This window comes from Homo sapiens, chromosome 8 (assembly GCF_000001405.40).
Source record: "Homo sapiens chromosome 8, GRCh38.p14 Primary Assembly".
NCBI classification, from domain to species: domain Eukaryota; kingdom Metazoa; phylum Chordata; class Mammalia; order Primates; family Hominidae; genus Homo; species Homo sapiens.
In genome coordinates, this window is record NC_000008.11 from 86254699 (window position 1) to 86267468 (window position 12770).

General features: G+C 37.1%; 2 annotated features.

Annotated features, from left to right (window-relative positions):
- Nucleotides 1148-1292: an enhancer, noted in NCBI's record as "145 bp enhancer 29 fragment used in the MPRA reporter construct; PK_construct_1805". NCBI's record gives its function as "activates an SV40 promoter by MPRA in HepG2 cells {active_cell/tissue: HepG2}" and the evidence as "EXISTENCE:reporter gene assay evidence [ECO:0000049][PMID:23512712]".
- Nucleotides 1213-1226: a transcriptional cis regulatory region, noted in NCBI's record as "HNF4 motif; enhancer activity is reduced when this motif is scrambled". NCBI's record gives its function as "necessary for full MPRA enhancer 29 activity {active_cell/tissue: HepG2}" and the evidence as "EXISTENCE:site-directed mutagenesis evidence [ECO:0005528][PMID:23512712]".

The following is a 12770-nucleotide window of genomic DNA, read 5'->3' on the forward strand; positions in this document are numbered from 1 at the left end:
CCATTACCCAGTTGCAAAGCTGCTTCCACATTTTTAGGTATTTGTTACAGCAACAGTCACACTTCTCAGACAAATGTTCTGTCTTGGTTCATTTTCTGCTGCTATAACAGAATACCTGAGACTTGGTAATATATAAAAAATAAGGATTTATTTCTTACAGTTCTAATAGCTAGGAAGTCCATGATTGAGGGTCTGCAGCTAGTGAGAGTCTTCCTGCTATGTCATAACATGGTAGAAATCATTATATGGAGAGAGAGCACATGTGAGAGAAGGAGAAAAAGGGAGAGGGAGAAAGAGAGTGATTGAACTCACAGCCATAAGCTCTTTTATCCTTGACATTGTAAACCAAACATAAAATTCTAAGTCTCCCCAGCTGACTTAATGGACAAGGACCTTGCTTTGGGCAAAGGTATCCCAAAGAATCCTGAAAAACTAATTTAGGACAAGATAGGAAGGCTGCAGTGAGGAAGCAGGGTCAGGCATGCCTCATTATACCCTTCTCTTTTTGGAGTTTAGGAATGGCTAGGAAGTCCAAGCCATTTAGTGTTATTAAAATAGAGATCATGGACTGACAAAATAGACTCTTTGTAACAATAAAATACCCAGCTCCAATCTGACTCTGGTACAACCTTACCACAGTGGCAGTTACATCTGCCCCTAAAACTTAAAACTCCAACCCAGGATAAAAGAGAGCAACAAAAGACTGAAAGGAGGAACATCCTGAATATGATTAAATCTCAAAATTAAATGACTGAAAAATAACTCAATTGACCTTTACTTAAAAATGACTAAGTTTTCTGCCACATGACAAAGAAGGGCCTAGAGACAAAAATCAAAGTGAACTATACAGACAATGAAGGAATGGACACTAGAGAAACTTCTAGATGAAGAACTCTACCCTTCACTGAGGTTCTCAAACTTTAACTCGAGAATGTGGCAGGAATAGCTAACCTGAAATTTGCATGAGGACATGCTGGTGGGCACTTAATCCCCATGTATCATTGGCAAATCTAAAAATGCCAGGACTGTCACTAGTAATGAACTACCAAAGAGTGAGTGAGACATCTAAACAAAACATTGCATGTGGAAGACCTAAAGAGGAAACCTGGGAACTCATTATTTACTTATTTTAATAATTTACAGATTGGGCACAAAGGTTTACTTATACAAACATTGATTTTAAAATCAGAGATCTTTCAACTATGTTGTCCTTGAACTTTGGAATCTGGTTAAATAATGTCTATTTAGATTCTCAGACTAATACAGGCATAGATACATTGTTCCAATAGATTCTTTTACATTTCCTTGAATCTAGTAAAAACTGAAAAGCATGTTCTGTTTTTTTCCTCTTATTTAGATATCTTCTAAGTGGCCATTTCGTGCAAGGAAATGATATAGGTTTGCTTTAAATATGTTTTACTCAACATTAAGCATTTTGGTTTTGATCCTGTTCCGTTGAAAACGTTTATAATATACCAACTTGTGTTCTTTAGCCTTGCCTTATTTGTCGCACACTGATGCACTTATGTCATTTAGCTGATGGGTGTACCATTAAAATATGCCGTATTTCTCTACATGGAAATAGAAAAACATGGGTGAGTAATCAAATGTTAACAATCACTTGTGACCTCATATTTTAACTTGGATCAAAAATTCACAATTATGACATAATCCATGTACCTCAGAAGTTGATATTTCTACAGAAAAAGTGGGGAAATTACTTGAAACTGAAAATTTGGATAACTTTTTCATTACTAGTTCTGTTGCATAACATGTTATATAACATGCTGGCAAAGAAAAAAAAAACCTTACAAAATTATAAGAAAAAAGTGTCTGTCATGCTTTTACTTATAACTTAATACTTAGTTATAAATACTAAGAAAAGATCTCTAGAACCTTCATGAAAAACTTATCTCATTGCACTGTGCAATGTGATAAAGAACCAGCTATGGGAAAGAAAAAAGAAGGAGAATGGGAAGACTAAAGAGAGATGTTGAAAGAAGAAAGAGTTGGAGAAAGAGAGATGAAGAAAGGGAGCAAAGAGATCTAATTTATCCTTTTGCTATTAATTTAATTATATGCTTCAAATCCTTAGTTCTTCCAAAGCAGAAATTTTTATATTGGCATATAATGTTTTGAGGGAAATGACCAATTTGTAAAAGCCTCTGCTTGCAAAGCAATACAGTTTGCCCAGCATATGAGGTGACACTTAAAGGCTTATAAATAGAGAAAACTGGTAAATGGAAAGGGGGAGAAAGCAAACTAGTAAGTGCACTTTTCAATGTTGAAATTAATCTTGAAATTCTTCATCGCATTAAAAAATGGGGCAATGTACATTTTGGCTTCATTATTGTCAGTTCTCTAAGTATTTGGAATAATCATACTTTGGTATAACCATATTTGATATAACCATATTTCACTGTATTAGTTAGGACTATGTGTAAATCAAGATATCGGAAATCTGAGTGAATTTTTAAAAATAGAGTCATTTTTCTTTTCTTGCGTAAGAGGAAGCCTAGGGTCAACATCAGTTCAATGGCTCCCTTTTGTCAAAGGGACTCCCTGACAGCCATAGATGGCTGCTAGAGCTTCAGACACAGAATCTAAGCCAAAGCAAGAGGAATGGGAGGGCGGTCAGGCTGCCGCACATATCAAGAAAATTCACAAAAATTCTTTAGCTTGAGAGGTAACTGTTGGGTCAGCTAACCAAACATGTCAGCAAGTTTTCAAAAGCTGTTTTTAATTATTTGTCCTAAGATCCTTATTATGAAATAAATCAAGTTCAAGAGCTCCATAATAAACAGTAAGGAATTTATCTCAAAAGAATATTCAAGGTACTAGGATATTCAATATTCAAGGAACTAGGATAACCTTTAGGTTATTACTTTGTATTATACGCAATAATAATATGCCAGTAGTGCCCAGCATTGCACATCTTTTTCCTTGAGAACTTGCTTACCTTCAGCCTGTGTGTCTACCAGGAATAGGCACTCAGCCCAAAGGCATACATAGATCAGTGACTTACAGATACCTTCTGTGACCTGATCAAAAAGATTAGCTGGGCTAGTAGATTTCTGTAGCAAAATTAAATTTTTTTTTTAAAGAGACAGAAATGGTCACAAACATGAATGTAAAAGAGCTCCACACAGTTGAAATAGACCCATGGTAAGTAATATTAATGTGCAAGAAAAGTTATGATGAAGCAGAAGTTTATAGCATACATTATGCATGCCTAGAATGCATCATTTAAAAATTTCTTTCTGGGTGGGTTCAAGAACCAGTAAGCTAAAGTTAAACAAAAGGCCTAGCGAGCCTAAATTGAAGTAGTAGGAAAAGAGTAATACAAAAGTTTCAGAAAGAGCTATTTATTTTGTAACTAAGGAAAATAAAATGCTATTTATTCCATTCTTTGAATAAATGTTAACTGACCATCTTGAATCAGCAAAATAAACAGTGTTAAACTGCAACTAACTCACCTAGAAAATTAAAACAAATTCTTTGCCAATTAGCAATGGTAAAAGAAGTTTATGACTTTGTATTTCATATAAATATAATAAGTTCTGCTAGCTAGGAACTCAGAAGTCACTTTACAGAGAAGAACACTGAAACATTTTTTTCTGGACTATAGTAGCATATTTTTTAAAAGTGGAAAATAGTGCCAAAATTTGGCTCCCTAAGTACTTTGGATGTTTATTCTCTAGTTTTGCTTAGTTTACTTTTCATGTTTCATAATATTTCCACATGATCAGCATTCTAGACAATCTCTCCACATGGACATAATTTTTCTTCTTCCCCCACTGACTTCACATAATGAGTGTTTATCAGAACTCTTCTCAAGGAAAAAGTTCATGAAAAAGATTTAGAAATGTTTGAACCTACCTTCTAGGCCAACAAAAAGTAGTGAGCAGAGCCATTAGATCATAGTAATGCTTCTTCCTATAAATTATTAGGCGAGTCAGGTAAAACAAGTTAATCAACAATGTTAAAGAGTCTCAAGTTATCTACAGAAGAATCTCCAGGCTTCTCTTTACTTATGGCTGTTTTGGTTTCTGGCTGAACATTCTGAAGAAAGTAGGACACAGCTACCAAGGCTCCATTTCCCATCCCCTGTCTTAAAGGTGTTTGATAGAGAGAGTGATTCCATCGAACTCAGAGAAATTCATGGACCTCACAGGACTCTATGCAGGCACCATGATTGAGATTATTTAGGTTTTTAAATTATAGTTCATATTTGAGAATTCCTTGAGTTTTCTCTTGCCTCCAGACAAGAGACAAGCAAAGGCAGAATGGCCTTCATGGCTCAGCATCCGTAGCCAGAAAAGGTCACACATACAAATTAGGAAACTATTTTTGATAACTTGGACATGGAAAGACCAGCTTAGCTCTCAGTGAGCTATTTAAAACTTGCTCTGGATTCTCAGGCAGCACCAGCTCTTCTGATTACATATTTACAAGCCAACCCTTGAAGATCTGTGCAGCCCTCCACACCACAGCCAGGACACCCAATGCTATTCACCTTTAAAGTGAAGTCCAGATATAACAGGATTATATCCACAAATAACTATGCATGTAGGTGAATATAGTTAACTCCATTTAAGACACAAGCCAATAAGCTCCTTGTCTAGTATCTTCATAAGAATACACATTAAATCTGCTTCTGTATCTTATACTCTTCCAACTTCGTCACAGCTCCCAGGACAAACCTGATATACTGGAGAAAAAAAAATTGAAGAACTATCCGATACAACTTGAGGAGTATGAGAAGGTAGTGGTTAAGTTCATAGATCTCAGAGCCTGACTAGCTATGACCTTTCGCACTTTGCTTAACCTTTCTTTGTCTCAGTTTCATCATTTTAAAGTGAGGGCTAATGGTAATAGTATACCATAAATTTGTTGTGAGAATGGAATGACTTTAATATTTGTAAAATAGTGAGAATCATTTTATGGAACATCATGAGTGCATCAGGAGTATTAGCCATTATTAGTGCAATTCCAGAGATACTGTACTCCATAAAAATGTATTACCCAATACCAAAAATAATTCAAAGTCACATATTCCTGCTAAATAAAGACAACACTGATTTTTTATGACATCATTCATCTATTTCTTTTATCTTGGTCTGGAATAAAAAGGTCACTATCAATCATGAAATAGTGGGTGTGAAGATTTTTAACTACAAACATTGAGTGAACAAAAGGCCATAAATAACTTATTTTCTCTGTACCTGAAATTAATTTTACTCTGAAACCCAATTTTCATCTGAGGAAGAAAATTCATTCTCACCAATTCAAAGTAGCTTAGTTACTTTCAGTTTAAAACTCAGTCTCTTATGACTATCCCACCTCTCCCTTCTCCTTTGCCTCTTTTTTCCTGAGTAAAGTTCCTAGGATTGTATGAGTTCCTGGGTGACTTGCATTATGCCGGCGAGAGAGGAAGAGACAGAGGTCTTAAGCATTGACCTCTGTCTCCACTGCCTCCCATATATGTCCTCAGCTGGTGTAACACTGAGTCTGTTGCCTTGGTATGGATGGTCCACTTTGCAGACCCCGCTACAGGGTTCTATAACCCTATCCCTGGACTTCCATGGTAGACCTTAATTCTTAGTCAAAAAGCCTTTAAGGGGAAGGTGGTCTAGCTCATGCTTTCTTTGTTCAAACATGCCACACCACCATTTCTTTTGAGGCTGTCTTTTGTTTATGCTAGACTATGTGTTGCTATGCTGCCTGTCACCCCAACATTTAGTGGCTTAAAACAACAAACATGTGTTTCCGTTGATTGAGAATTAAACAGCTACTTAGCTGGGTGGTTCTGGCTCAGGTCTTTTATGAGGCTGCAATCACGGTATCAGTTAGTGCTACAGTTTGTCGTGCTGGACCCCTATTAACTTCAGTAGGGATGGCACTATGTTCAAAAGGACGAAGAAGACATGTGGAGCCAGCAAGTGAGACATGGGGTTTATTGAGGGGACTTATATAGAGGGAAGTCCAAGGGCAGTGGGCTGCACGGAATTGAAACCACTTGTAAAAACCATACAATTTATACAGCATTTTCACTTAGCACCCTCCCCCATCAACCTCCACCTGGCAATCTTCATTTAACCCAAACAAAGGGCCTCACTCCCCTGTACAGCTTGCATTCTGTGGAATGAACAGGGGTTCAGATGTTTCTCACAGATAAGGAATGGATCTCTAGGTTGGCTACCCCCAGATTCCTTTGTTTGGAATTCTAAACGCACATTGTCCTTAAACCATAGGGTCATTCTCAGGGCATGCCTAAGTTAAGTTATTGCTGTCAGGTGCATCTGCCATACACAGTGACCTGAAACTTTGCCTGGGGCTGGCCAGTCCACGTCTAAACTCATTCACGTGGCTGTTGGTGGGAGGCTTCAGTCCTCACTGGCTATTGACCACAGGTTCCAGTTCCTCCTGTTAAATCAAACTGAAATCTGGCCTGAGAAAGCCTCTGTAGGTCACATACTTGAGCCCTTATGGACAAACCATAACCTAACCTAGTAGGGGAGCAAATTGAAAATCCTAATTTAGGAATATGCTTCTGTAACAAGAGCTGAGTCTCAGACAATCCTAGTAGCCATACTTCAACCACTCACGGCATCCAACTGTTCAAACCATGTTCAAATAAGGCAAATGCCGAGCTGTAACCAATCCAAGTGTTTCTATACCTCATTTCCTTTTTCTGTACATCCCATGTGCCATCCCTGGAGTCTCTCAGAATCTCCTGTGATTCTGTGAGCTCCCTGATTCATGAATTGTTTTTTTTTTCCTTGCTCAATTAAACTTTGCTAAATTTAATTTGTCTAAAGTTTTCCTTTTAACACTCACCACGTGGGCGTTTTTGTGGAGGTTCTGAATGCTCCCCAGGACGTGCCAGCTAGCTTCCCTCAGAGCAAGTGATGTGAGAGAGAGAACAAGGCAGAAGCCATGCTGTCTTTTTTGCCCTGGCCTCAGAAGTCATATACCATCACTGCTGCCATATTCTACTGGTTACACTGATGCAGTGTGGAAGGGGACTACACAATGATCAGTGCCAGGAGGTGGATATCAAGGTGGCATCATGGGGGCCACTCTCACTTGAATATTCTATCAAGTTTCTCTCCTCCTCAAATTCCACATGGAATGCAAGCACAAGTCACTCTTCTTTATAATCCCCAAACCCACTGGAGATGGTACAGGCCCTGGCATTTGTCTGGGTTCTAATTCTGTTTCAACACTTGTTAACTGTCTGACTCGGCAATTTACTTGCCATTTCTGCCTCTTAAGTTCTCATGTACCAATAGTGATAATAATTCCTACCACAAAGTTTTGTTGGGAGAATTGTATTACATCATCCACATAAAGCTCCTAGAACAGTCTGGCATATAGTTACTGCTCAGTAAATATCATCATCATCATCATCATCATTGATATAAAGATTTCAACCTGGAAAAGTAAGAATAGAGAGGCAGAGATCAAAGCCTCACATTTTATCTAAGCTCTCTGGCTCTTTTTTCCAAATTCTCCCCAAATACCTTATTCCAGCCAAGGAAAAATATTTTTGGTGGTTGGGTTTCTGCCTTGGGTTTTGTTTTTTAATTTCCTTACCTTGTAACTTAAAACTACCCTTTTATCTATATCCTACACCCTCACATTCCAAAATGGTTATAGTATACTTTTTGCTTTAAGCCCACCAACTTTGGTTCTTGGTGATTAAAGCCAAGAATTTGGAATTCTGAGAGCACTTTCCCCTCCCAAAGCACCTGGCTGTTGACTCTTGGAAACTACTTTTTTTTTTTTTTTTGAAACAGAGTCTCAGTCTGTCACCCAAGCTAGAGTACAATGATGCAATCTCAGTTCACTACAATCTCTGCCTCCCAGGCTCAAGTGATCTTCCTGCCTCAGCATCCTGAGTAGCTCAGACTACAGGCACAAGCCACCAGGACTGGCTAATTTTTTTTTTTTTTTTTTTGGTAGAGACAGGGTCTTGCCATGTTACCCAAGCTGGTTTTGGAAACTTCAATACCCTGTTTTGGAACTCAAAGCCAGTAACAGCAGTAATAGCTAATGCTCACTAAGGGCCAGTCACTAACACAAGTGCTTTATATATTAACTCATTCAATCATCACAACTGCATGACATAATGTGACACTATAAGAAACATATATTTGGTCTCTGTACCAGTTCCTGGCATAAAGCTACTAAAACCTTTGTAATTTCCTAAGTGAGAGGGTGATAGGAGTGTCTTTTGTTTGACATTTGGTCTTAGTTCCTGATTCCTGACCAAACAGCTTCTAAAACTTTTGAAATTTTCTCAGTGACAGATGTGAGGAGAGCATCTTTTGTTATTCATAATAAACCCCTTTCTGTATACCTGAGCTTATGCTGATGAGGTGACTCTTGGACAATGGGGGCTGGTTGCCAGTGGAAGCACCCAGGTGACTAGAGTGTTGGAACTTTTAACACTACCCCCAAACCTCTAGGAAGGGGAGAGGGACTGGGGATCAAGTTAATCGCCAGTGGCCAATGATTTAATCAATCATGCCTATGTAATGGGACCTCCATAAAAACTCTAAACAACGGGGTTTGAAGAGCTTCCTGGCTGGTAATCAGATCTGTAGACAGTGGCGTATCCTGACACTAAAGGAGAGAATCTCTTGGGCTCAGGACCTTCCAGACCTCACCCTATGTACCTCTTCATCTGGCTGTTCATTTGTATCCTTCATAATCTCCTTAATAATAAATTGCTAATAGTAAACAAAGTGTTTCCCTGAGTTCTGTGAGCCATTATGGCAAACTATCAAACCTGAGCAGGAAGTTGTCAGAAGCCAGGATTTGTAGCCACATCAGATAGAAGTGTGGGTAACATGAGGACCCACTACTTGTCATGGGCATCTGAAATGGGAAGCAGTCTTGTGGAACTGAAACCTTAACCTATGGGGTCTGAACTAGCCCTGGGTAGTTAGTATCAAAAGTGAATTAAATTATAGGACACCCATGTCTGCAGAAAATTAGAGATTCACTTGGTGTGGAAAACTCATACATTTACTGTCAGAAGTGTTTTCAGTAGAGAAACAGTTTTCCTTTATATAGATATTATTATTATTCCATTTTACAGATGAAAGAGGCACAAAGAGGTTTAGTGGGACAAGACCACAGAAAATAACACAGAGCTGACTTTGGACCCAGGCAGCCTAGCTCCAGAGTCTGTACTCCTAAACACTACTTTATGTCACCTTTCAAGAATGTGCTCTTGGTTTTTTCTGTTCTTTTTCATTCTTTGTTTCCTGTAGCACTATATCCTAGCCTCAAAGACACTTCTTTTTAACCTTTTGTTTTGAAATAATTTCACAGTTACAGAAAAATTACAAAAATAATACAAAGAATTCCTTATAACCATTACCCAAATTTCACAAATGTTAACATTTTACCACATTTGCTTCATCATTCTCTCCCTCTCTGTCTCTTCCTATCATAACTCTCTTATGTCTAAATACTATACACATACACAAACACACACACAAACATGCATATATATATATGTATATATAGTCATGCATCATGTAACAACAAGGATATGTTCTGAGAAATGCCTCATAAAATGATTTCATCATTTTGTGAACATTAGAGTGTACTTACACAAATCTAGGTAGTATAGCCTGCTATATACCTAGGCTATATGGTATAGCCTACTGCTCCTGCAATCACCTAATGTGGGTTCTTCCTGCCCACTGCACAGACAAAACCAATTGACTGAGACTGCAGTATTGCAGTAGAGAAAAAGTTTAATTAACGCAGAGCTAGCCAAGTGGAAAGGCTGGAGTTATCACTCAAATCAGTCTTTCCAAGAACTCAGAGGCTAGGGTTCTTATAAATAATTTGGTGGGCAGGGGGCTAGGGAATGGGTGCTGCTGATTGGTTGTGGATGAAATCAGAGGGGTGTAGAAATTGTCCTCATGCACTGAGTCCACCTTTGGATGGAGGCCATATGACTGGTTGAGTCATGAGTCACAGTTCCAGGTGGGGTCAGTCAGCTGCCAGGATGCAGAAGTCTGAAAAACATCTCAAAAGTCCAATCTTAGGTACTACAACAGTGATGTTATCTATTGGAGAGCAATCGGGGAAGTCATAAATCTTGTGACCTCTGGCCACATGACTCCTGATCAATAAGGGATTATAGAAACTGTACCTACATTTTAGCAAAACTCAGGCCCCTCCCATAATCCTAATTCCATGGCTTTTTATTACTTTTACAAAGGCAGCTTCAGTCTCTGAGCAAGGAAGGGGTTTGTTTTAGGGAAGGAGTATTATTTTCCTTACTTCCATGTTAAACTGTAAATTGCCCCCCATGGTTAGCTTGGCCTACACCCAGGAATGAGTGAGAACAGCCAGCCTGTGAAGCTAGAAGCAAGATGGAGTCAGCCATGCTAGACTTCTTTCACTGTCATAATCTTTGCAAAGGTGGTTTCACTCCTAGGCTACAAACCTGTACAGCATGTTACTGTACAGAATACCGTAGGCAATTGTAACAGAATGGTAAGTATTTGTATATCTAAATGTATTTAAATACAGAAAGGTTTCAGTAAAAATACAGTATTATAACCTTATGGGACTACTATTGTATATGCAGTCAATCATTGACCAAAACATCGTTACGTGGTGCATGACTGTAATCTCTTGAAAGTAAGCTGTAGATATAAAACGTCTTTGTCCTTAAATATTTCAGGGTGTGTTTACTAAAAACAATGGTACTTCCTTATATAACTTTAGTATAATGATCAAAATCAGGAAATTAACATTGATACAATACTAAAGGTGATATGCTGGTAAATGTTTAACAACCAGCTCTCCAGGTCTAAAGAGACAAGAGCCCTGGTTTGTCCCATTTGCTACTTCCTATAACCCAAATACTTCCACTAAGGCCAGTTTCAAGCTATCAACCTGATGTCACTAGACTTGGAAACGGGAAGAGGTGCACAACCATGAGCTCTTGTGAACCAGTACAAGCCCACTCCAACACATCACTGAAAAAGTACATTTGTATTAGTATAATGGCTGTAAAACTTACAAAGCATAAAGGAAAAAGAAAAGAAAATTGTAATAATAAAAACATTTTTCTACTACTTTATTTGTCCATATTCAGTTAGTACACAGTTTCATCTAAGTATTATTGTCATTAATAACCAAAAAGAGAAAGTGCAGCTTACCAGTCATAATTTTATGTAAAAGACTAATATGTATTAGTTGTAAAACAATGTTACACCTGACTCAGTGGTATGATGTGTCTTCCAAAGCAGCCAAGAGAAGTTTATATATAGAATCAAAGAAATGATAATTCTGCTCTCTGATTATTACCATTTATAATTTAAATTACTGCCAGATACTGTGAATTTGAAGCTGTGACACTGAATCTGCAAAAATGGGAATAATAACAAACCTTAAGGCACAAGAATAAAATATTGCCATATAATTGTAGTATTTGAGCAGGAAATTGATATGTCTTATTTTTAATTGAATATGTACACACACACATAATACATTGTTTCTCTAAGTCACTTGAGAATTTTTTTAAATGTACATGTGGAAAAAATAGAGATGAATATCCCAATATGTCAGCTTTCACACAGGGAAAAAATGTTGATTAGACAAATGGTATTACCCTTCTCTTCAAAATAGTATAAGTAGAGGCTGGGTATGGTGGCATATGCCTATAATCCCAGCATTTTGGGAGGCTGAAGCAAGAGAATTGTTTGAGCCCAGGAGTTCACGACCAGTTTGGGCAATATAGTAAGACCCCATCTCTATAAAAATAAAATAAAATAATTTAAAAAATCAGTATCAGTAGAAATGTTTAGGAAAACTGAAGAGAATATTTTATTTTAAAATAACTATTTCCTTTTGAACATAACTTACAAATTTCACAGAGAAAATACAGAAAGAAAGAATTTAATAAGATAAATACTAAAAATTCTTTTGGTTTTTAATGAAATAAGCATGCAGATCAATGCAAAGAGATAGAAATTGTTTAAAACAATATGAACTTATAATAGACTAGGTATGAATTTGGATGCATTCATATAACAGCTCATTTCAGAAATAAAATTATTATAGTATTTTATCATTATTGATTTACTGCATATTTAATCTTTATTTGAAGTTGGTATCATCTTCAAAGAGTTATGCTTTTTTTTTTTTTCACAGCTTTCTACCCTGCTGGCTATTTACAAAATATGTCAGGGAAAGAAGCACTTGACGGTCCTCCCAAATCAGTGGTGTTCAGCAAACAAGATGAACTATAAGATAAAGAATACTAAAAGTCAAGAAAAACAAGTATCCCATAGAGAAAATATTACAGATAGGTGAAATGAAGATGTGATAATTGGGATCAAAACCATGCTAGGTTTCTCAGCATTTGGTTATCACAAAGTCTTTATTACACCCATTTTTAAATAATATTCTCACTTTATAAGAAATTGTTTAAAGTTATAATGGTAGTTTCAGGTTTTTTGAAATTTATTTTACTGTCTACTCTGACCTCCATCGTTCCTAATCAAGAATCAGCCATCTCTTGTATTATATCCTTCTAAGTAATTTGTCTTTCTCTGGTTGGGTCTAAGATTTTACTTTTCATATTTGGTTTTTACCAGTTTGCCACTGCAGTTTCTAGATATGGTGTTATACTTACATAAATTCTGAAATTTTCTGATCTACATGAATTTATATGTTGATGATCTAAACTTTTCACTAAGTTTTTGAAACCTTAATTATTTATATATCTC